The 20,705-nt window shown below is 48.2% G+C and overlaps 2 annotated features.

The window, feature by feature from the left end:
* Positions 9,541–10,040: an enhancer, noted in NCBI's record as "H3K4me1 hESC enhancer chr14:76597945-76598444 (GRCh37/hg19 assembly coordinates)". NCBI's record gives its function as "activates a minimal SCP1, AML or CMV promoter by ChIP-STARR-seq in naive H9 embryonic stem cells {active_cell/tissue: H9 hESC(naive)}" and the evidence as "EXISTENCE:reporter gene assay evidence [ECO:0000049][PMID:30033119]".
* Positions 16,450–17,178: an enhancer, noted in NCBI's record as "OCT4-NANOG-H3K27ac-H3K4me1 hESC enhancer chr14:76604854-76605582 (GRCh37/hg19 assembly coordinates)". NCBI's record gives its function as "activates a minimal SCP1, AML or CMV promoter by ChIP-STARR-seq in naive H9 embryonic stem cells {active_cell/tissue: H9 hESC(naive)}" and the evidence as "EXISTENCE:reporter gene assay evidence [ECO:0000049][PMID:30033119]".

The following is a 20,705-nucleotide window of genomic DNA, read 5'->3' on the forward strand; positions in this document are numbered from 1 at the left end:
CTTATATTTTGAAGTGTTTGATAAAATCTATCATAATGGACTTGGGGCCTCATACAGAAATGTGGGTTAAATAATAACAGTTTCAGTTCGCAGCTCTTTTTTTTTTTTTTTTTCCTTGAGAGAGAGTCTCACTCTGTTGCCCAGGCTGGAGTGCAGTGGTGCAATCTTGGCTCACTGCAAGCTCCGCCTCCCAGATTCACACCATTCTCCTGCCTCAGCCTCCTGAGTAGCTGGGACTACAGGCGCCGGCCACCACGCCTGGCTAATTTTTGTATTTTTGGTAGAGACGGGGTTTCTCCGTGTTAGCCAGGATGGTCTTGATCTCCTGACCTCGTATCTACCCGCCTCGGCCTCCCAAAGTGCTGGGATTACAGGCGTGAGCCACCGCGCCCGGCCTCAGTTCATAGCTCTTGATCTATCAAGTCCCAGTTTGTTTACCAAATGCTTTCATATTACTTGTTATGTGCTAAGCCTAAGAGCTTTACAAATATTAACTCATTTAATTGTCACATCCATCTTATGAGATAGGTGCTATTATTATTCTCACTAAAGAGGGCTGATCATTGGATTGATGTGAGCCTAGATGAAGTGTCTAGAGGCAAACCACAGGACTCTGCTCTTAACCCTGTCCTGTTCAACCCATTTTTAAAATCAAAGGCTTGGGGCTGGGTATAGTGGCTCACACCTGTAATCCCAGCACTTTGGGAGGCCGAGGCCGGTGGATCACCTGAGGTCAGGAGTTTGAGACCAACCTGGCCAATGTGGTGAAACCCCGACTGTACTAAAAATACAAAAATTAGCCGGGCATGGTGGTGCGTGCCTGTAATCCCAGCTTCTCTGGAGCTGAGGCAGGAGAATCGCTTGAACCCAGGAGGCAGAGGTTGCAGTGAGCCAAGATTGCTCCACTGCACTCCAGACTGGGTGACAGAGTGAGACTCTGTCTCAAAAATAAAATAAAATAAAATATATAAAATAAAAGACTTGGATAGGAAGCATCTGGCATTTTGACCACAATTTTAGGACTGCCAAAGCTGTCCTGTGTTAGATGATTCCAGTGGGCCGGAATGAGGCAGCTGAAACCATCAAGCTGAAATTGAATAGGGTTACATATAAAGCCATTCACCCTTGTTTTAAAAACCGTACTGTAAAAACACAGAAAAAGAGATGGTGGCTAACTGCAGCACACGGGAAGGAAGACATGGGTGTGTGTTAGTTGCCTGTGGGTTCAGGGAGTCAAAGCTGCAGTGCGGTCGCATCATATCAACTGGGATACTTGTTTCTGTGATGAAATGGGGTGCCCGGGGGTGGAGTGGGTAGACCCAGGCCCCAGTCTTTGCTGTTGACAGCACACATGAGATATTGGGTTCTAGTATCTGAACGACACTCCACAGAGAAAGACTAACACATTAGAGAATGGTCAGAAAGAATCGCCAGGATGGGACGGGCCTCAAAACCATGGGAACTACAATGGGCAGTGGTCGTTTTGACTCGAATTCCATTCCCCTTTGTTCTGGAAATAGCTGCATGATTTCCCTTAGGGGATCCACTCCAGCCCTCTTTCCGTGTCATATGAGTGTGGTCAACCCCAGGGGATGGACACATGATCCAGGCCTGGCTACTCAGAGAGTTGTGACTTCCTGGCCACAGGGATTGGTTCAGGGGTAGACACCTAACCTAAGGCAAGCCAAAGAGAGCCCTACCCATGGCTTCCGCTGGATTTACTGGGAAATAGGAGTTCTCTTCCTGCTGTGTTTGGTGAGCTGGCGGGATTTAGGCTGGGTCTCCCAGGGCTACCTACCACATTAGGAGTGTCTGCCTGAGAATAGGGTCAATGCAGAGGAGGGCAGGGGCCAAGAAAGGGGAGCAGTTTCTGGAAAAGTTGTTTACACCCTTGCAATGCCCCAGTCCCTAACTCTGGATTTTCCCAGTTTCATGAGCACTAAGTTCCCTTTTTAAGTTGGCTTTTGGCCCCTGTGACTCTGACTGGCACAGCAGCTGAGCCTGTCTGGACCGACAAAAGGGCTTCAAATTCTTAAAAGTAAAGTGACTTGCACAGGATGAGACTTGTCCTTGTGTATCCCCAGAGCCAGTGGGAACAGAGATGGAACCTCACAACTGGGCTCCAGAGAGGTGAGAAAGAGTTTTCTAAGAACAGGGCGCCAGCAGGTGCTGTGACACCCCATGTAGAGGTTATCATGAAGGTCGCTTGTGTGTATGGTAGAGAGTGGGACCCTGTGGTCCTTGAACTCTGAGATATGATGATTCAACTATAAGTTTGTAGCTGGGTGTGGTGGGGATCATGATTCCATAGACGGTTCTGGTGGGAAGAGACAGATCTAGAATCAGAATCTCTGGGTTCTATCCCTTTCTTTCACTAGCCAGCTCCATGGGCTGAAGCAAGCCAGTTAACCCTTCAGACTCACTCTCCATCTGCCCAGGTGCAGGGAGTGCTGTCTGCTGGGGGTTATTGTGAGGCTCAAAAGCAGTAAAAGCTATAAATGGTTTGAGGAAGTTAATGCATGGGGCAGACAGATGTAAGAGGCTGGTAAGAGGGGGTGAGGTGGAAAAGGAGATGCAAGAAGAATGAAGGGCTGAATGAGACCACCCAGAAGCCAGGCCTGGGCTGCAGGGGCTTCCTTGGGGTCATGTTTCTTGTGGAGAAGAGGTGGGTGATGTCAATGACTGGAGCTGGGAGGGAGGGTGAGATGGCAGGTGTCTCACGGAGTGTTGATAGCTTGGGGCACGGAGTGTTGATAGCTTGCCCTGTCTGAAGATCTGCTCATTCTAATCTGATAAAACCAATGCAGATCAAATATTGACAGACACCTGTGGGGCTATGTTTGGCTTATGGGCCCTGGTTTGCACCTCCTGAGTTAGACTCAGGGAGTAGGTAAAGAAGCACTTGGAAGCCTGCTGGTGTCTTGCAAACGAGTGTGTTTAAGGATAATCAACTCATGCCAACTCAAGGGTACACCCACAGAAGGGTGATATGACTACCCAGGCCAGGGTTCTAGGCCAACAGCATTCCATTCTTTGTCCTGCACCTTGGTGGAGACAGGTGTCTTCATCCTAATTAGTGAAGCTTAGAGAAAGGCCCCGATGAGTGCTACAGACAACATGTGACATCATCCTCATCAGTGCCCTCAGTCCAGCTGGCTTCTCAACATGTAGGAAGCATCACACCCATGCCTGATTCTCCTGCCCTGTCTCCTACTTGGAAGAAGTTCCTGATTGAGCTCTTCAGAGAATCCCATCCAAGGAGGGGCTAGGCCAGGGATTGCTTTGCCTAAGGCTGGTTCTCCTTCCTTCCCTCCCCTCCGTGATACAGTAAAGCCGCCTAAGAGCCAGCATCTGTGGTCCTGCTGCCCTTCCCCATTCCACCCTCCCCAGGGACATTGGAGTGGACGTGACATTGGAACTCCTGTAGAGGCTGCCGGCTTTGGCAAGGTTGATTGGGACCCACATGTCAGCCTGGGCCACTTCCTCATCACCGTAACTCTGCGCCAAATAACAAGACCACGGGAATCTGCTAGCGCAGGCCTGGGGAATGCTCTCCATTACTCTCTTTTATTCTCTCGGGAGATTTATGTGGCCTATCTCCCTTCCCTTTGTCCACCTGCAAGGCCCTATAAGTCATGTCTCGGGGCTGACAGGTCACAGGGCCTGTGCTGCTGCTCTGTCAGAGTGAGTGAAGCTGAGGGGTGATTAAAAGAGAGGAAGGGTGAGAGGTCAGCAGCAGACGGCATGATGGGAGTTTGGGATGTAATTATCACTCCTGTGACATACTGCGGGGCTGTTCTCCCCCTTCTTATAATAGATATACACACTTAGGTGCAGCTTAGAGAGAGGAGGAGGGTAGTGATGCCGAGAGGTGCAGAAGACCTGCTGGAATGGGCTTTGTGTACTGGGCCTCACAGGTGAAGTTAGAGCACCAAGGGACCCAGCAGCATCTGTGGCCTCACTGGAGAGCAGCACCCTCCATTCAATGAGATGTTCCCCAAAGCCCTCTGCACAAAGCCTGGGACACAGGAAGCACAGGTTACTGCTGTTACTGTTAAGTATCAATTAGATCTGAGGAAAACTATTGGGGAAGGCACAGATGGGGTAAGCTCAGGAGGTAGCTGGGTGGGGCGGATGGGTCACACCTCTCTGAATTTACACTCTCGTGTGGTTTCCTCCCACGGTGAATCGGAACTGACCTATGACTTGCAGCCAAAGTGAAGTTGTGCAAGGTCTGAAGGTTATGCCTAGTCTGAAGAAGCCTTACAACTTCTGCTTTCTTTCTTGGAGTTCTAAGTCTCCATATAAAGAGGTCTGGGTCATCCTACTAGAGAAGTCATATGGCGAGAAAAGACCTGGAGGATGAAAGACTGTGAGGAAAGAGGAGTCCCAGTGTTTCAGCCATCCCAAGGGAAGAGGGCAGGCATGAGAAGGAGACCACTGGGGATCTTCAAGCCCAAATCGTAAGCCACACACTAAGCCCAGTCAAGCCACATGGAGCAGAGATGAGCCATCCCAACTGAGCCCTGCCCTGCCCTGCCAACCCACAGAATCATATGTGATAAAATGGCGGTTGTTGTAAACCATGTGTTTTGGGATGGTTTGCTATGCAGTAATGGATTCTTCTTATCTGTGATCCCTAGACCCATTCCTCCCTCTGCTCTTTGCCTCCTGCTAGGGTCCAGGGGTAGGATCTCTTTCTGGAGTAGATGCACCTGTACCAAATAGAATTCCTGCCTAGGGGTGTACCAAGGATAGGTTGGGGGGTAATGCCCCACCCTGACTGCAGGCATTTAGAACTTAGAGTAACAAAATATTTTTTCAGGGAGGAGAATTTTATCACTGTCATGGTTTAGAATTACTAGCAAATGGTAATAATAAAAAGAAGACTGACTTTCAGTTGGTATTATAATTTTTTTAAGGTCCTTAAGGCAATGGATCCCCTTATTGCCAGTTCCTGGGGCAGACTGCACTCACTGTCCCACCCTTGGGGCACCACTGTTCCTAGTTCTTCCTCATGACCATATGAGCTTTGAAAAGAGAGAATTGGGAAGAGGTAAAATCTGAAAATGGCAGGAGTCCAAGGCAAGAACTACAGTAAGGGTTGTGGGGGCCCCTGTTCTATGCAGGGCTTTTGCAGGCATTGTTGCTTTTAATCCTCAAGGAGACCCTGCCTGCATTTTAACCAAGGAAGACAGGAAGGCTCTCCTGGGTGGGAGGCTTGCCTGAGTTTACAGAGCAATGAAGTGGTGGAGCTGGGGTGCAGACACAAGGCTTTTGGACTCCGGACTCCAAGACTAGCAAGGATGGAGGGAAGTATGTCTCAAAGCCTGGCACATGCTGTACAAGGCTGGGGTTATGATGGCCTCTTCCTAGTGCTTTTCTGAGACAGCTAAGAGGTTTATCCCACTTTTCACATTTACCACAAAATATGAAATCTGGCTCCCTCTTTTCCCCTTTAACAACGCATAGTGCAGTGATTAAATGGTGCTGAATGACCTGAGTTCAAATCCTAGGTCTGCCCGTATGGTTGTGTGACCTTGGACTAGTTTTTCAAACTTTTTTTTTGCCCCAGTTTCTTTTTCCATAAAGTGGGATTAACAAGAGTATTTATTGCATCAAAACTGATGGGGGACTCAAATGAATCAATATACATAAAGAACACAGATGCTGACATATATTTGTAATTACCTACAAATACAAATATGCACTACGATGGGCACTTAAAAACTTTAAAAATACTGTATTAGTCTGTGCTCACACTGCTAATAGAGTCATACCTGAGACTGAGTAATTTATAAAGGAAAGAGGTTTAATTGAGTCACAGTTCCACATGGCTGGGGAGGCCTCACAATCATGGTGGAAGGTGAATGAGGAGCAAAGTCGCATCCTACATGGTGGCAGGCAAGAGAGCGTGTGCAGGGGAGCTCCCCTTTATAAAACCATCAGATCTTGTGAGACTTACTCACTATCATGAGAACAGCATGGGAAAGACATGCCTCCATGAATCAATTACCTCCCACCACGTCCCTCCCACAACATGTGATCTACAATGCAAGATGAGATTTGGGTGGGGACATAGCCAAACCATATAAAATACTAACTCTTTTAATTCTTCCAATAATCCTATGAGGTGGCTACTATTATCATCCCCATTTAATAGAGGGGGACCCAGGACTCATAAAGGTTAATGACTCATGCAGTGTCACACAGTTAGAAAGTGGCAAGACCAAGATTCAAACCCAAGTACACCTGCCTCCCAGACATGTGCTAAACAATCTACACAGGGCTGTGCTCAGTAAATGTCAGCTGTTATAATTTTACCCAGTTTGCCTGAATAAACACCAGGGGTTGCTCTATCTCTCCACTTTTCTTCCACGGGAATTATACTAGGGACCCCTTTGCATAAGTAATCACAGGAGAATTAAAAACAGAAAAGTTGGCCGGGCACGGTGGCTCATGCCTGTCATCCCAGCACTTTGGGAGGCTGAGGCTGGCGGATCACAAGGTCAGGAGATCGAGACCATCCTGGCTAACACGGTGAAACCCTGTCTCTACCAAAAATACAAAAAAAAAAAAAAAAAAAAAATAGCCCGGTGTGGTGGCAGACACCTGTAGTCCTAGCTACTTGGGAGGCTGAGGCAGGAGAATGGCGTGAACCCAGGAGGTGGAGCTTGCAGTGAGCCGAGATCGTACCACTGCACTCCAGCCTGGGCAACAGAGTGAGACTCTGTCTCAAGGAAAAAAAAAGAAAAAACAGAAAAGTTAAAGTAGGCAGCATTTTCCACCCATCAAGTAAGTAAAATTTTAAAAGTATGGTATCATCAAGTATTGTCAAGAGTGTGAGGAAGTAATACTTTCATACGTTGCTGGTGGTACTGTAAACTGTAAATCCTCTCTGAAGGGATTGTTTGGAAGGACAATTAAAGTTAAAACCATGTATTCCTGTGATCCAACAATGTCACTTATGGGTGTCTGTCCTAGAGAACCACGTGCACAAGCACACAAGACAACACAGATATGTTTATTGCTATCATAGTTGCCACTGCACTGTGATAGCAATAAACCGGGAACAGCCTAAGTCCATTAATAGGGATGGCTTAGCCCCAAATAGAGCGAAAACCATGCAGTGGTAAACAGAATTCTGAGCAAAGAAAGTCAGTTGCAGGCTGGGCGTGGTGGCTCACGCCTGTAATCCCAGCACTTTGGGAGGCCAAGGAGGGCAGATCACTTGAGGTAAGGAGTTTGAGACCAGCCTGGCCAACATGGCGAAACCCTGTCTCTACTGAAAATACAAAAATTAGCCAGTCATGGTGGCGCACACCTGTAATCCCAGCTACTGGGGAAGCTGAGGCAGGAGAATTGCTTGAACCCAGGAGGCAGACGTTGCAGTGAGCTGAGATCGTGCCACTGCACTCCAGCCTGGGCAACAGAGTGAGACTCCGTCTCAAAAAGAAAAAAAAAAAAGAAAGTCAAACAACACATAGAAAGCCATTTATGTAAGAACAAAATATCACTGCAGCATAATAATATGTCTTTTTCTACAGGGTATGCACATATGTATGTAAGGACATAGAAAAATCATTGGAAGGTTACGCACCAACTTGCTCACAGTGATAACCTCTGGGAGAACAGGAAGAGACCAAGACTCAAGGTTGGTCAAACATTATCATTTATGTTTTATTTTTTAAATGATAATTTATTTTACTATTACTTTTATAATTAAATTTTAATATTAAAACGGGAAAAAATCAATCGGGGAATGTGGTTTTCTATAGTGTAGACCTCAAAATTAGACAAGCCTGATGTCTTAGCCCATTTGGGCTGCCATAACAACATGCCATGGCCTGGGTGCCTTAAACACCAGACATTTATTTCTCACAGTGCCGGAGGATAAGGCCCAGATCAAGGCATCAGCATCTGTCTGGTGAGGGCCTTCATGCTGTGCCCTCACAAGGTAGAAGGCAGGTGGGTGGGGCAAGAGAGAAACCAACTCCCTTCACCAAGCCTCTTTATAAAGGCGGCTAATCCCATTGACAAGGCAGGAGCCCTCCTGCCCTAATCACTCCCTAAAGGCCGCACTAGCTACTGCTGTCACATTGGCAACACCTGAATTTTGGAGGAGACACATTCAAACTGTAACAAAGAGAATGAACCTAACCAAGGTTCCCTCCCTTCTCTGTTTTTCTACCTGTGCCCAGGAAAACTCCTGCAGCCCCTCCCTCCAGCAGTTTCTCAAGGAGATAGGGAACCCAAAGGCAGGAATCTGGGTTCCTCTCAGCAGCTCCAAGGCAGATAAGCCTGGAGTCAGAATTGGAGTGTGTGTGGGCTGGCAGTAGAGAATGTGCTCTGTTGAGAAGGTGACAGCTTTATTCCCAGCACAGTGTGAGGCTCAGTGAAAGTGGGAAGGAGTGAAGAAGGGTCTGCAGGGAGAGACAGTGGTCATAGAATCTATATATGTTAGTGCAACAGAGGCCATGTGGCACAACAAGGAGAGCAGAGAGTATTTCCACCACAGAACTTTTCTTTCAAATGAAATCCTGCAGAGAAGCCCAGTGAATGACACAGACATAGGTGGAACCACTGAGGCTGCCCACTCCACCGCCTAGAGACCCTCATCAGTGACCCCTGAAGCATCTCTAGAGAACCCTCTGACAGTGCCACAGCTAAAATCCCTCCTCTCACTCAACAGTTCACTTTCCAGAAGCCTAGAAAAGAGTAGCTCTTTATCCAGGGAACTCTCCCCCTTTCCCACCCACCTTCTGGGTCCTTCATGGCCTGAGAAGTTTTGCTCGTATCTCACCCAAGTCTTCCTTTGACAAGTTTTTGACCCCCAAAAGCCTCCCTTGGACACTGGACACTTCTGGGGTGTTGGAACTGCTCTATATCTTGATCTGAGTGGTGGTTGCACAAGTTTATTCTACAATGTACAGAGCAGTGCTGGATCCAGCTCACCCTGGCTCTCATCCACTCGCATCTCTTCCAAACTCTGCATTTGGTGAGGACACGTTGCCCAGTGAACATCCCTCTGGCCCCTGCAGGGGATCCTGTGCAGGGAGCCAGCGGAGACTGAGGTTGCTCAGAGGCTAGGCTAACCAGGAGAGAGAAGACAGAAAGAAAAACCATCCGGGGATTCCAGGGAAGCCAAGGATGCCTGGGCTTTTGGGAAACAGTGACGGTCAGGCCGGAGGAAGGTGTTGGCATTGAGGAAGCCCTGGGGAATGCAGACTGTGGAAGGGAGCCTCGCTTGCCCGTCGGTGGGCTGGGCGGGAGCGCTGACCCTGGCGCCTCGGAGGAGGGAGGGGGCGGGCTGGGGAGGGGGAAGACAGCGTGACTGCGGTCTGATCTACAGTGACGAGTACCAATGTTAACTGTCACCTCTCATCTCCAAACTAAATCACACCTGGAATTGGAGGAGCCGAGGAGCTGATAGAGTCAGCCTCGCAGAGGCGACAAGTCAATCAGCGCGGAGATGCCCGCGGAGACACCGGCTCCACGGGCCGGGCGCCTCCATTCATTCTGGGATTTACACTTGTCAGGCTGCCGCCTCGGGTGGGCAAGAGGAGGGGTGGGCAGGAGGCCGGTCTCCCTTCAGCTCCACTTAAAATGGGATGACAAGCAGCTCCTCCCCAGAGGCACCACAGGCTGGGCCCATCATTCTTGATGTCCCTCCACTTCTCTCTGTCTTGTGGGTCATTCCCCCAGGTCAGTGGACTTCAGGCTCAAGGATTTGGAAGAAGCCCAGCAGTCAGCAGATGGAGACAGATTGGTGGTCTCTCGGGGCAAGGGGTATTGGCTGTTTGAGCAACCTTTGTCTGGGAGCTTGACAAGAATTCTTTCCTGGTCTCCAGGTCATCTGTTTGGGAGGGAGCAGTGGGGCCTTGTGCAAAAGGAAGGATGGAGTCAAACTACTTTGGAGCAATACTGTCGGTGGTCAGATGAAATGGAAAAGATCGTCGCTTTTTCTTTCGTTCATTTCTTTGCTCATTCAACAAATGGCATTCAGTTTGGCTGTAGCAGAGTGCTGGGGGTTTAGCAGCACTGAGCCTCCACATCCTGAAAAGGGGGAGAATTGAAGCATTTAGAACTTCTCAGGTTGCCATCTGCCACTGTCTTAGAATTACTGAATGAAACTGCAGCTCCCCCATCACTTTCCATCGCTGACCACACCATCATAATCCTCTGCACAGTCATTTATAAAGTGCTTTTTCACCTATAAACATAACTGTGCTAAGTGCTGTGCCAAGGAAAATGCCTAGAGATATACATTCCAGATGGAGGAAAGCACATTGAGGTCCCATTGCTGTTTGAACATCTATTTTACTTTTGTCACCATGAAAGTAAGAAAACTTCATTCCAGAAAATATGGAGCAATAGAAAGAGGGGAAAATCCCCTAAATACAAAGCTAGCATTTTGATGTGCTTTCTTCTAGTCTTTTCTCCTATATTTCTTTAACTTATTTTCCCAAAAGCCCCCAGCCCAGAGCATGTACTATGTCAATGAATGTGGAGTCAGGGTGGAAACCTCATTTTTCTCCTCTGACCCCATTCAGAGTGGCCCCTGAGGACATGGTTTCATTCTGCCTGGTGCCCGGACACAGCAATGGTGATACAGGCATTCGGTAGGCTGATCTCTTAATCCAGATTGGTGTAGTCCTTTGAAACTGAAAGTAGCTCCTTTTTATGTCGCCTGCTTCTCAGCATTAACTTCTCTTTGATGTAATTTTTGCTTCCGTTGCTCTCTCCCTTCATGGGTTAGATTAGTGTGAAATTGGCCTGGCTCCTCTGGAGACTGCAGTATTAAGCTTCAAATACTTGGTTCTTATTGGAAATCCTTAACCCACATCAGGGGAGAAAAGTGGCAGCATTACTTGGGAATGAGAGAGAGAGAGTGTGTGCATGCACACACGTGCGTGTGCATATGCTTACAAACGTGTGCAGGGGTGGGTGTAGACTAAGAAGGAGAGAAGCACACTGGCAAGGGGAAGGTGGGGAAGAGGAGATTGAGATTCTTCTCCATTTATTGAGTGCTGAGGATCTGCTCATCTTAATCTTAGGAGGAAGGGGTAGGAATGGGTCTTAGGGAACTTGAAAACGTGATAATAAGGGTAGAAAGCCTGTTTAATTTGCTGGCGCTCTCAGTGGAGCTGTCCAAAAGTCTTGGTGCTGAAGGGAAGAAAGAAAGGTGCCAGTGCTGGAGAAAGTAACAGGGCAGTTACGTAACCCAACCCACTTCACTGGGGTTATGTCTGCCTCTATGGGTGTGGCGCCTGGTTCAGATGTGACCTTGAATTGCACACAAGACATGGTTACCAACATTATGAGAGGACTGGCAGGAGCCACCAGTCCTGCTCTTACTTCTTGTTACTCAGGACAAGAAATTAGACTTGGCACAAAGAATGACAACTAATTAGGCCAGACTGCTGGAGGGAGGTACTCAACTGCAGGGGAGACTCACCTGGACACATGACCCAGGAGAGGGTTTCCTTCCACTTCTAAGGTATAACTGGGGGACCTCCTTCCGTGAGCGATTCTGATCAGAAGGAAGAGACTGCACCTCCTACTCCCACAGTAACACAAGCTCAGACCATCAGCCCCCAAATTTAAGTTGCCACCTGAGGACATCACTGGAGAACAGCTTCTGTTCTCCAGAACAGAGGTGGTTCTGATGGCCAACTGGCCAGAGCTGTTCATAAAGGACATAATCGCCAAACTGTATGACCACTGGAATGTTCTCAGCAAACTTCAGACTCCCCATTCAAAAACAGTTTACCTCCAGATATTTCAACCTTGTTATCAGCCAGCCTATACTTACTTTCTCCCTGCAATCCCCATCCAACTTTCTCTGCCCCACTAGCCTTGGTCTTTTCTTGTACTCTCAGCTTCTGCCTCAGTTTCTTTTCTTTCCCACAATGCCCCTTTTCCCAGCCTCAGCCATCCGTTACCCCCAGATACCATATATCTGTGACCTTTCTTTCCTTTGCTCTGTTCTCCGTTCATTTTTCCACTCACCTGGGTCTTCCACTTTACCCCCTTCTTCCCTTAGCTTTGTTCCACTCACCCCACTGGGGTGCCCCTGCCCAGCCTCTGCCTGTGGAAGGGCCTTGGCCCACCATGGCTTAGCCTTGTGCCTCCTTGTGCATGGGCCCTCCTCTCCCCTTCTTGAGTCCGCAAATCACTTCTCCCAGTGTCAGCCGGCAAATTGGTTTATCCTCCCCCCAACCCGGCTTTCATTACCTTGCCGAAATGAAGCGATATCTCCTCAGCGGAGGCTTCCCGTCCATGCTGCCGCTGGCATAATAAATGAAGACAAAGTGCCGGCGGCATAGACCATCTCTCCCACTGCACCACTGGCCGCTGCCAGCTTCATTATTCGCTTAAGTTGCCGGAGAGAATTACTTAACCCTGACCCGTGTATTAGGGGCCTGTATTAATGCCGCGACAGGCGCCTCTTACGGCAGAGAACAATTTATTAATGCTGAAACAGGCTGCTTTTCTCTGTCATTTTTCCAATCTGAGCTTTGAACACACATCATTAAACTTGTCCGACTCTCTCCCCTTCTCCATCATTCCTTTTTCATTTTTTTTTTTTAAACAGAAAGCACCGTAAAGAATGGAGATTGTTCTGAAAATCTCCAAGTGCCTCTCCCGCTCTTTTCTCTCCCTTTTTTCCTTTTCTTTCTTTCTTTTCTTCTTTCCTAATTTTTCCCAGGCCTCCTTTTGGTCTTGGTGCCTCTGCTGGTCGCGCTCCTATTTTTGGAGTCTGGATATATTGGGAGGGAACATTTGGTTCTTGGAGGAGAAGCCAGTTGTCCTTTGGGTATGAGGTTTGGGGGACAGGATAACCACAGCCCCCTTCCCTTGAGTTCTGCACCAGCTCTCTCTCCCTCATATTCCTCTGCTTCTGTCTCTTTTGTGCCTCCAGCTGGGAGCACCTTACTTTGAAAACAGACATTGGGAAGTATTCTGGGAGCTAGAAGAGCTGGGTGTGAAGAAGAACTGGGCATGGTTTCTGTTTGTCTTGGAGAATTTCTCAGGTCCACAGCTGGGAGAGGTCAGGAAGATTTGGAAGCACCTAGAGATGGCCATTTAGTGTCTGGAGCACCCTGAGCCCAGATGTAGTGTCTGGCCACAACCCAGGAAGCTGGCCATGCTGCTGTGGCTGTGCCACCACAGGGCTGCCTACGCAGCTTTCCCCAACAGAGCGTCAGTTTCCAGGAGTTGTCATCTCTGGCTCATATGTGGTTTTGTCTCAGCACCTGAGCTCAACCTGTGGCTTCCCTACTCTCCTTGGCTCCTGATCTTGGCTCTTCTGCCCCAGCATATGCCTTTGTCTCTAGCACCTGCTGCCGCCCAGAACCATCCATAGCCATTCTCTAATGTAGTGCTTGCCAGTCTCCCTTGTGACCATCTCCTGCCCTTTGTACTAGAGACACATATGGCTAGTGTCTCAGTTTGTGTTCCCCTGGAAGCAGAACTGAGCAGACTTGGGTACAGATAGTTTGAGAGGTGGCAACAGGTAGCAGGAGTGAGGATGGGGAAAGTGAGGCCGATACAGTTGCCAGTGAAAGAGTGTGCTCTCAAGAGAGCTGCTGCAGGCAGTGGGGCTCGACTCCACCAGGCCCTCTGAGCTGGACACAGAATGGCCCCCAGAGTTACTTTTCCAGGGTATTTATTCACAGACGTCTGTCCCCGATTGGCTCAGGGGGCATAAACTCACCCAGACTTCTGCACCATGCTTGGTGTGTGTGTGTGGAGGGGGGTGTGTTGGAGGGCTGAGCACCTTCTCCTTGGAGAAGTTCCTGGGGCAGAAAGCTTGAGAGAAATATGAGGTCCTGTTTGAGGCGAATTGGGTTGGAACACGTTCCCATGGCACTGACCAGCATAGCTATGGCTGAAATCAGAAGTGGTTGGGGAGAATGTGAGGTGGGTACCAACAACATCCACCCTTGGCACCATCCCACGTGCCCATCTCCTCTCACCGTCTCCTCCCTCTCAATCCCCAACCGCCTCCAGCAGTTCTGAGCTCTGCAGCCCCAGCCTGACTGAGCTGCACACACAAAGGATGTCACAGACCAGGCAGGGACATAAACAAGTGAGGCAGGATGGGGGCAGTAAACAGGAACTGGTGGGGACTGGTAAATCAGGGAGTACAATCCCATAATTAAAACAAACACATCGAGCGAGAGATGGTGGCCCACACGTGTAGTTCCAGGTCCTCAGGAGGCTGAGGCAGGAGGATGACTTGCGCCCAGGAGGGGTTTGAGTCCAATCTGGGCAATACAGCAAGATCCCATTTCTAATAAATAAATAAATAACATTGATTACTTTTAAAAACCACACATGCAGTCTCTTAGACAAACATATTTGGGGGCTAGAAAATTTGACCTGGAGAAGTGACTTTTGCGAAGTTTTCACTCACTTTTTTGCATTCTTCCCAACTCTAGCTGTGAGTGTTGGGGACTGTTTGAAAGTGAGTCCTGGGGAGAGGGGCTGAGAAGGGGCAGGAAAGCCCATCTACAAGGCCAGTGGCTTTTCCCCCAACCCAGTCCTTCCCAAATTCCCACAGCCTCCAGATCCCTGCAACCCTCCCTCCCGCTTAGCTCAATAGCTCTTGAAAGTTCTCTAATCACCTCTCTGCTTCCTGCATTAATAAGCCTCTCATCTCACTGATGGCAATCAGAATATTTGCTTATGAAAGGGACACGGTTAATAACACGATTGCTCCCCTCCGCCTCCTTCCTTCCTCTCCTTCCCCCTCCCTTTCCCTCGCCCTCCACACAATTCTCTCAATTAACGATAGGCAGAAATTAATTTTTCCCCTCGATCGAAACAATTGCAGGGAAGCGGATTGCCAGTGTGGCTTCAGATAGGGACGGCTCCCAGCAGAGTGGAGAGAAAGGAGCGAGATGCAGGAGATAAGCAGGCTCTATCTGCAGGCACAGGACAGAGTAATACAAATGTTATCCTTAGAAATGTACTTAAAGAGGATATGTTTATAATTCGGAGGGGATTTTCGGGGGCTCTCCTGCCCTCCCTCCCTCTCCAGGGCACTCCACTCAACTCACTTCTGCATACAGAACCCAGAGTTTGTTGGGAATTTTGATCCTGTTGTCTCGAAATGAGTGGCATGGGCCTGCGGTGAGAAGGGAGATCAGGTTATGCAGGGGGTCTTGGCCATGGTCTGGGCCCAGGGCTTAGGCCACTATTGATAGGGCTCTCTTTGTGGCCAAGTGCCAAACACCAGGTGTCAGGTCTGACTGTTGTGTGGGCTTTTCAGGTGAGGGCCTGGCTTATCTGCCATCTTTACCAACCCTTCTGCACCGGCCTGCACTCCTGGCATGGGCCTCCCTCCCAGCCCACTCCACCACCCAGGTAGAGAAGCAGAGTCCCGTGTGGAAGCCAAGATCATATCCCAGCACAATGGGCTTAAGAACACAGACTCTAAAGCCCGAAAGCCTGAGTTTGAATCCAGCTCTGCTGCTTCACAGCTCTGTGATCATAGGCAAGTTACTAACCCTCTCTGTGTCTTGGTTTCCTCATCTGTACAACAGGAGCCACATCTACCGATCAGGGTTGTTATGAGGATTCAGTGAGTGAATATTAGTAAGTGCTTAGAACAGTGTGTGCCATGCAGCAAGGGCAAATGCTATTTAAACGTCTGGCAATATATATATATTTTTTTGAGATGGAGTCTCACTCTGTCACCTAGGCTGGAGTGCAGTGGCGCCATCTCGGCTCACTGCAACCTCCGCCTCCTGGTTCGAACGATTCTGCTGCCTCAGCCTCCGGAGTAGCTGGGATTACAGGTGCCTGCCACCGCGCCTGGTTAATTTTTTTTTTGTAGTTTTAGTAGAAAGGGGGTTTCACCACCTTGGCCAGGCTGGTCTTGAACTCCTGATCTCGTGATCCACCTGCCTCGGCCTCCCAAAGTGCTGGGATTACAGGGGTGAGCCATTTTTACTTTTTCCTTTTTTTAAAAAAAGCCTGTACTGTTGTGGTAGTCAGAAATGTGTTGATCCATTGATTCCACAAACATTTACTGTACACCGGTCCTAGGGAGGATACAGACGTTTTAAAGATTTGGTAGTCTCTACACTTGACTTATAAGCCACCACAGCATGGGCAGAATTCGCCATAATCACAGTGTGTGAAGAGCGCTATAGGATTTTAGAGAGATTCAGCCCGGACAATCAGGGTTGGCTTCACGGAGGAGGGGGTATCTGAGCTGAGCTTTGATGAATACGTCAGATTTGGGGGAAAGGTTGCTGCTGGATAGCGGGGCAGGAAGAACGAGCGTATCTAGTTGTAATGCCAACAGGTCAGGGGGGGAAAGTTGGGGAATGGGGTGGGAGGAGGAAGAATTAGACTGGCCCCTTCCATCATCGCCATCCTTCTGTGTTGACCCACCCCGGCTCCGTCCCAACTCTCCCTTCCTCTCCACATCCAGGAAAGATTAACTTCTCTCCGTGCGAGAAAGTTATCATTAGCCAAGAATTAAAAGAGTGATTAATGATGCCCCCTCCCCTGCCCCCTCCCCAAGGCCTTATCTGGTGGCGGTCAGCTGGACAATGCGGCAGGGTGGGAGGGGGAAGCGAGGGCGACGGAGAAAATGGAAAACAATAAATATTAAGCGCAAGAAAAAAGGGAGCGCAGCGCCGTTCCCACTTGTTAGATTGAAGGCGCCTCTCCAGAGGGGGGAAGGCTCCAAATTGCTAATTAGCGCCTGTGAAAAGGCCTAGCTCTGATATGCGCGCCGCTGAAAGGCCGACGTTAATGAAGCCGCGGCGCGCCCGCTTCCCTTTGACTGGCCTTCATCCCTCCTCCGCGCCCCGGGCCGGCCCGAACAATGCGGCGGGGAGCGCAGGCTCCCCCAGGCCTCGCCGGGACGGCCCGGGCAGCGCGCGCGGGGGGCGGCGCGGCGCCGGCGAAATGTGGAGGGGGAGATAAGGCCGAGCGCAGGGAAGAGGCTCACTCCCAGGGGCCCAGGGAAAATTTGCAGTTATTATGAAGGAGATGAGACAGATTAAAAGCCCTTGTGTTCGCCGCTTTGCCCCTTTATTTAGTGGCTTCATCTACGAGATGAAAGAAGTTGGAAATGACTTTCTCTGCTTTGCGCGGCAAGAAGCTTCATGGCACATTTCTTGACTTTATTCCTTCTTTTGTTTCTCTCTTCCTTGCCTTTAACCCCTGAAAGGCTTCACTTTGCGGCCACAGGCACTTAAGGGCTGGGAGGCAGGGACTGGCAGGGGCCTCCTCCGGTGACCGCTCGCAGCCAGACCTTGCCGATCTTTCTTTGGCTTTTGTCTCTGAGGGCAATGGCTGAGGCAGGCAGGTGGTGAGCTTGCCCTTCTTGGAGGGCTCCAAGAGGAGGCTGCATGACCCATTTTCCAGATGGGTTGGAGGCTCCTGGAATGCCCTGGGCCTGTCCCCAGAGGAAGGTAGAGCGCTGTGCTTGAAAGCATAGGGACTCCAGAGCCACATCACCTGGGTTCAAAGCTACCCCCTTGCTAAGATCTTGGGCAAGACATTTAACTTCGCGGTGCCTCAGTTTCCCATCTGTAAAATGGGGATGATGATATTAATTCTAATACCCACTTCACAGGTGGAGTAGACACTGTGTGAACGTCCCTGATTTTTCATGCCTCTGTGTATCTACGCCTCTTGCTACTGCATTTCCATACTGACTCTGGGCTTGGCCGCTTGACTTGCTTTGGCCAATGTCAGTTACAAGGTTGAGTCAAGCAGAGACTAGAAGAAGTGCTGTGTGTTTCTGCCTCCTCTCTTAGAATCCTACAACGGTTATGAGAATATACTAGGGCTGGCCTCTGGTCATGAGAACATGACTATGCCATCTATCTCAGGCATGTGGGAGACATGAGGAAGACAGTTAAGTTGTCCCAGACCAGGACATCCTAGAACATCCAGTCCCCAGCTGACTGCAGATGCAGGAGCAAGCCCAGCTAAGATCAGCCAAGCCTAGGCCAGATGAGGAGAACTTGCCAGCCAGCATATGAACTTACGAGAAGTCATAAGTGAGTGCTGTTTCAAGCAACTAAATTTTAGGGTGACTTGTTATGAAGCATTAAATTGATGCCTAGAAATCAGGCATTGCTATAAACCAAACCAAAACCAAAACCAGCTCTAACACATATAGTACTAGCTTTGGGATTAGAAAGCAAGTAGAGGCTAGAAAAGATGATAAAGAAACTGGCTAGGCACAGTAATCCCAACACTTTGAGAGGCCGAGGTGGGGGGATTGCTTGAGCCCAAGAGTTTGAGACCAGCCTGGACAACATAGCGAGACCCCGCCTCCACAATAAATAAAAAATTAGCCAGGCACAGTGGTATACACCTGTAGTCCTAGCTACTCTACTCAGGAGGCTGAGGGGGGAGGATCTCTTGAGTCCAGGAGGTCAAGGCTGCAGTGAACTGTGATCATGCCATTCATAGAGTGAGACCCTGTCTCAGAAAGAAAAAAAGAAAAAGAAAGAAAAGAAGGAAGGAAGGAAGGAAGGGAAATTACTATAGTAGGCTAGAAAAGAAGGTGACCCATATTATGTCTAACGAAATAATAGGTCAAACTGTTGTCTGTGGTAATTCGGAAGATAGAAGTACTTAATGAACTTGTGAATTTGAGCAATGAGATTTCCAGGTAGAAGGCTGAAAGGATGAAACGGCTCTTACTAACTGAATTTGATAAGGTACTAGGAGAAAGATGAGCTGAAGAAGAAAATTACCAGTTTATTAACATAATTTAGAGGGAATATAAAAGGCCCAGAACTTGCTGAATTGGAGCAATTTCCCAATCCTTACCCCAGTTGTTCCAGCCAGTAAAAGACTCTCAGTGTACTACAAGACCTAAGACTTTCACTTTAGGCATTAATAGAATAACAGGGACTGTGTTTACCCTCGCACCTAAACAATTAAAGGAATACAAAAATTTCCAGAATCCTACAAGGTAAAATTAATAATATCTGGAAAACAATAAAAATTATGAGACACAGAGAAGCAGGAAAATACACTTATACGGATAAATCAATCAATAAAGCAGACCCAGAAATCACACAGATGACAGAACTAGTAGTCAAGATTAGTAGTCTACTAGTAGGACCAGTAGATGATTGACTTGTAGAAAATTAAATTATAACAATTATAACTATATTTTATATGTTTAATAAGGTAGAAAAATCCATGAGCATACTAAGGAGAGACAGGGAAGATATGAAAAAGCTCCAAAATCTGGGTGCGGTGGCTCACGCCTGTAATCCCAGCACTTTGGGAGGCAGAGGTGGGTGGATCACCTGAGGTCAGGAGTTCAAGATCAGCCTGTCCAACATGGAGAAACCCTGTCTCTACTAAAAATACAAAATTAGCTGGGCTTCGTGGCACATGCCTGTAATCCCAGCTACTCAGGAGGCTGAGGCAGGAGAATCACTTGAACCGGGGAGGTGGAGGCTGTGGTAAGCCGAGATCATGCCATTGCACTCCAGCCTGGGCAACAAGAGTGAAACTCTGTCTCAAAAAAACAAAAACAAAAAAACTCCAAATCTAACTTCTATATGACTACAATGTCTGAGATGGAAAAATGTATTGGATGTGATAAATAACAGGTTATACACTGTGGAAGAAAAGGCTGGTGACTTTGAAGATACAGCAGTATAAACTATCTAAAATGAAACAGAGAAAAAAAATCCCTAAAAAACAAAAAAGAAAAACAATAAGGAAGGAAGGAAGGGCAGATGAACAACTTAAAGCGACCTAATATATGTGTAATTGGAGTTCCAGAAACATAGCCATACATTGGAGATATTGTGGTTTCAGTTCCAGACCACCGCAATGAAACTAATATTTCAGTAGAGTCACATAATTTTTTTGATCTCTCAGTGCATATAAATGTTTGTTTGTTTGCTTGTTTTTGTTTTGTTTTATTTGTTTTTTTAAGACAGGGTCTCACTCTGTCTCTGAGACTGGAGTGCAGTGGCATGGTCACAGCTCAGCCTCAGCCTCCTGGGCTCAAGAGATTCTCCCACTTCAGCCTCCTGAGTGGCTAAGGCCACAGGCGTGTATCACCATGCCTGGCTAATATTTCTGTTTTGTAGCAGCAGGGTTTCACCATGTTGTGCTGGCCGGTCTTGAACTCCTGAGCCCAATCTGCTCACCTCAGCCTCCCAAAGTGCTGGGATTAAAGGCGTGAGCCACTGCGCCTGGCCGTGCATATAAAAGTTTTGTTGGCTGGACATGTTGGCTAAAAAACTTTTGTTTATACTATAGTGTAGTTTATTAAGTTTGCAATAGCATTATATTTAAAAATGCAATGTACATACCTTAATTATAAAATATTTTATTGCTGCTGGGTGTGGTGGGGCATGCCTAAAGTCCCAGCTACTCAGGAGGCTAAGACAGGAGGATCACTTGAGCCCAGGAATTTGAGTCCAGCCTGGGCAACATATCAGGAAGCTTGAGAAGAGGGAGAGAGACAGGGGAATGGCCAGTCAGTGGAGCAGTCAGAACAGAAACAACATTTATTGATTAAGTTTGCCATCTTACATGGTCACAACTCATGGTGTCTCAAAACAGTTATAATAGTTATACCAAAGGCCACTGATCAAAGATCACCACAACAGATATAATAATAATGAAACATTTGCAATATTGTGAGAATGACCAAAATGTGACACAGAGACATAAAGTGAGCACATGCT

Source organism: Homo sapiens, chromosome 14 (assembly GCF_000001405.40).
Source record: "Homo sapiens chromosome 14, GRCh38.p14 Primary Assembly".
Lineage (NCBI taxonomy): Eukaryota > Metazoa > Chordata > Mammalia > Primates > Hominidae > Homo > Homo sapiens.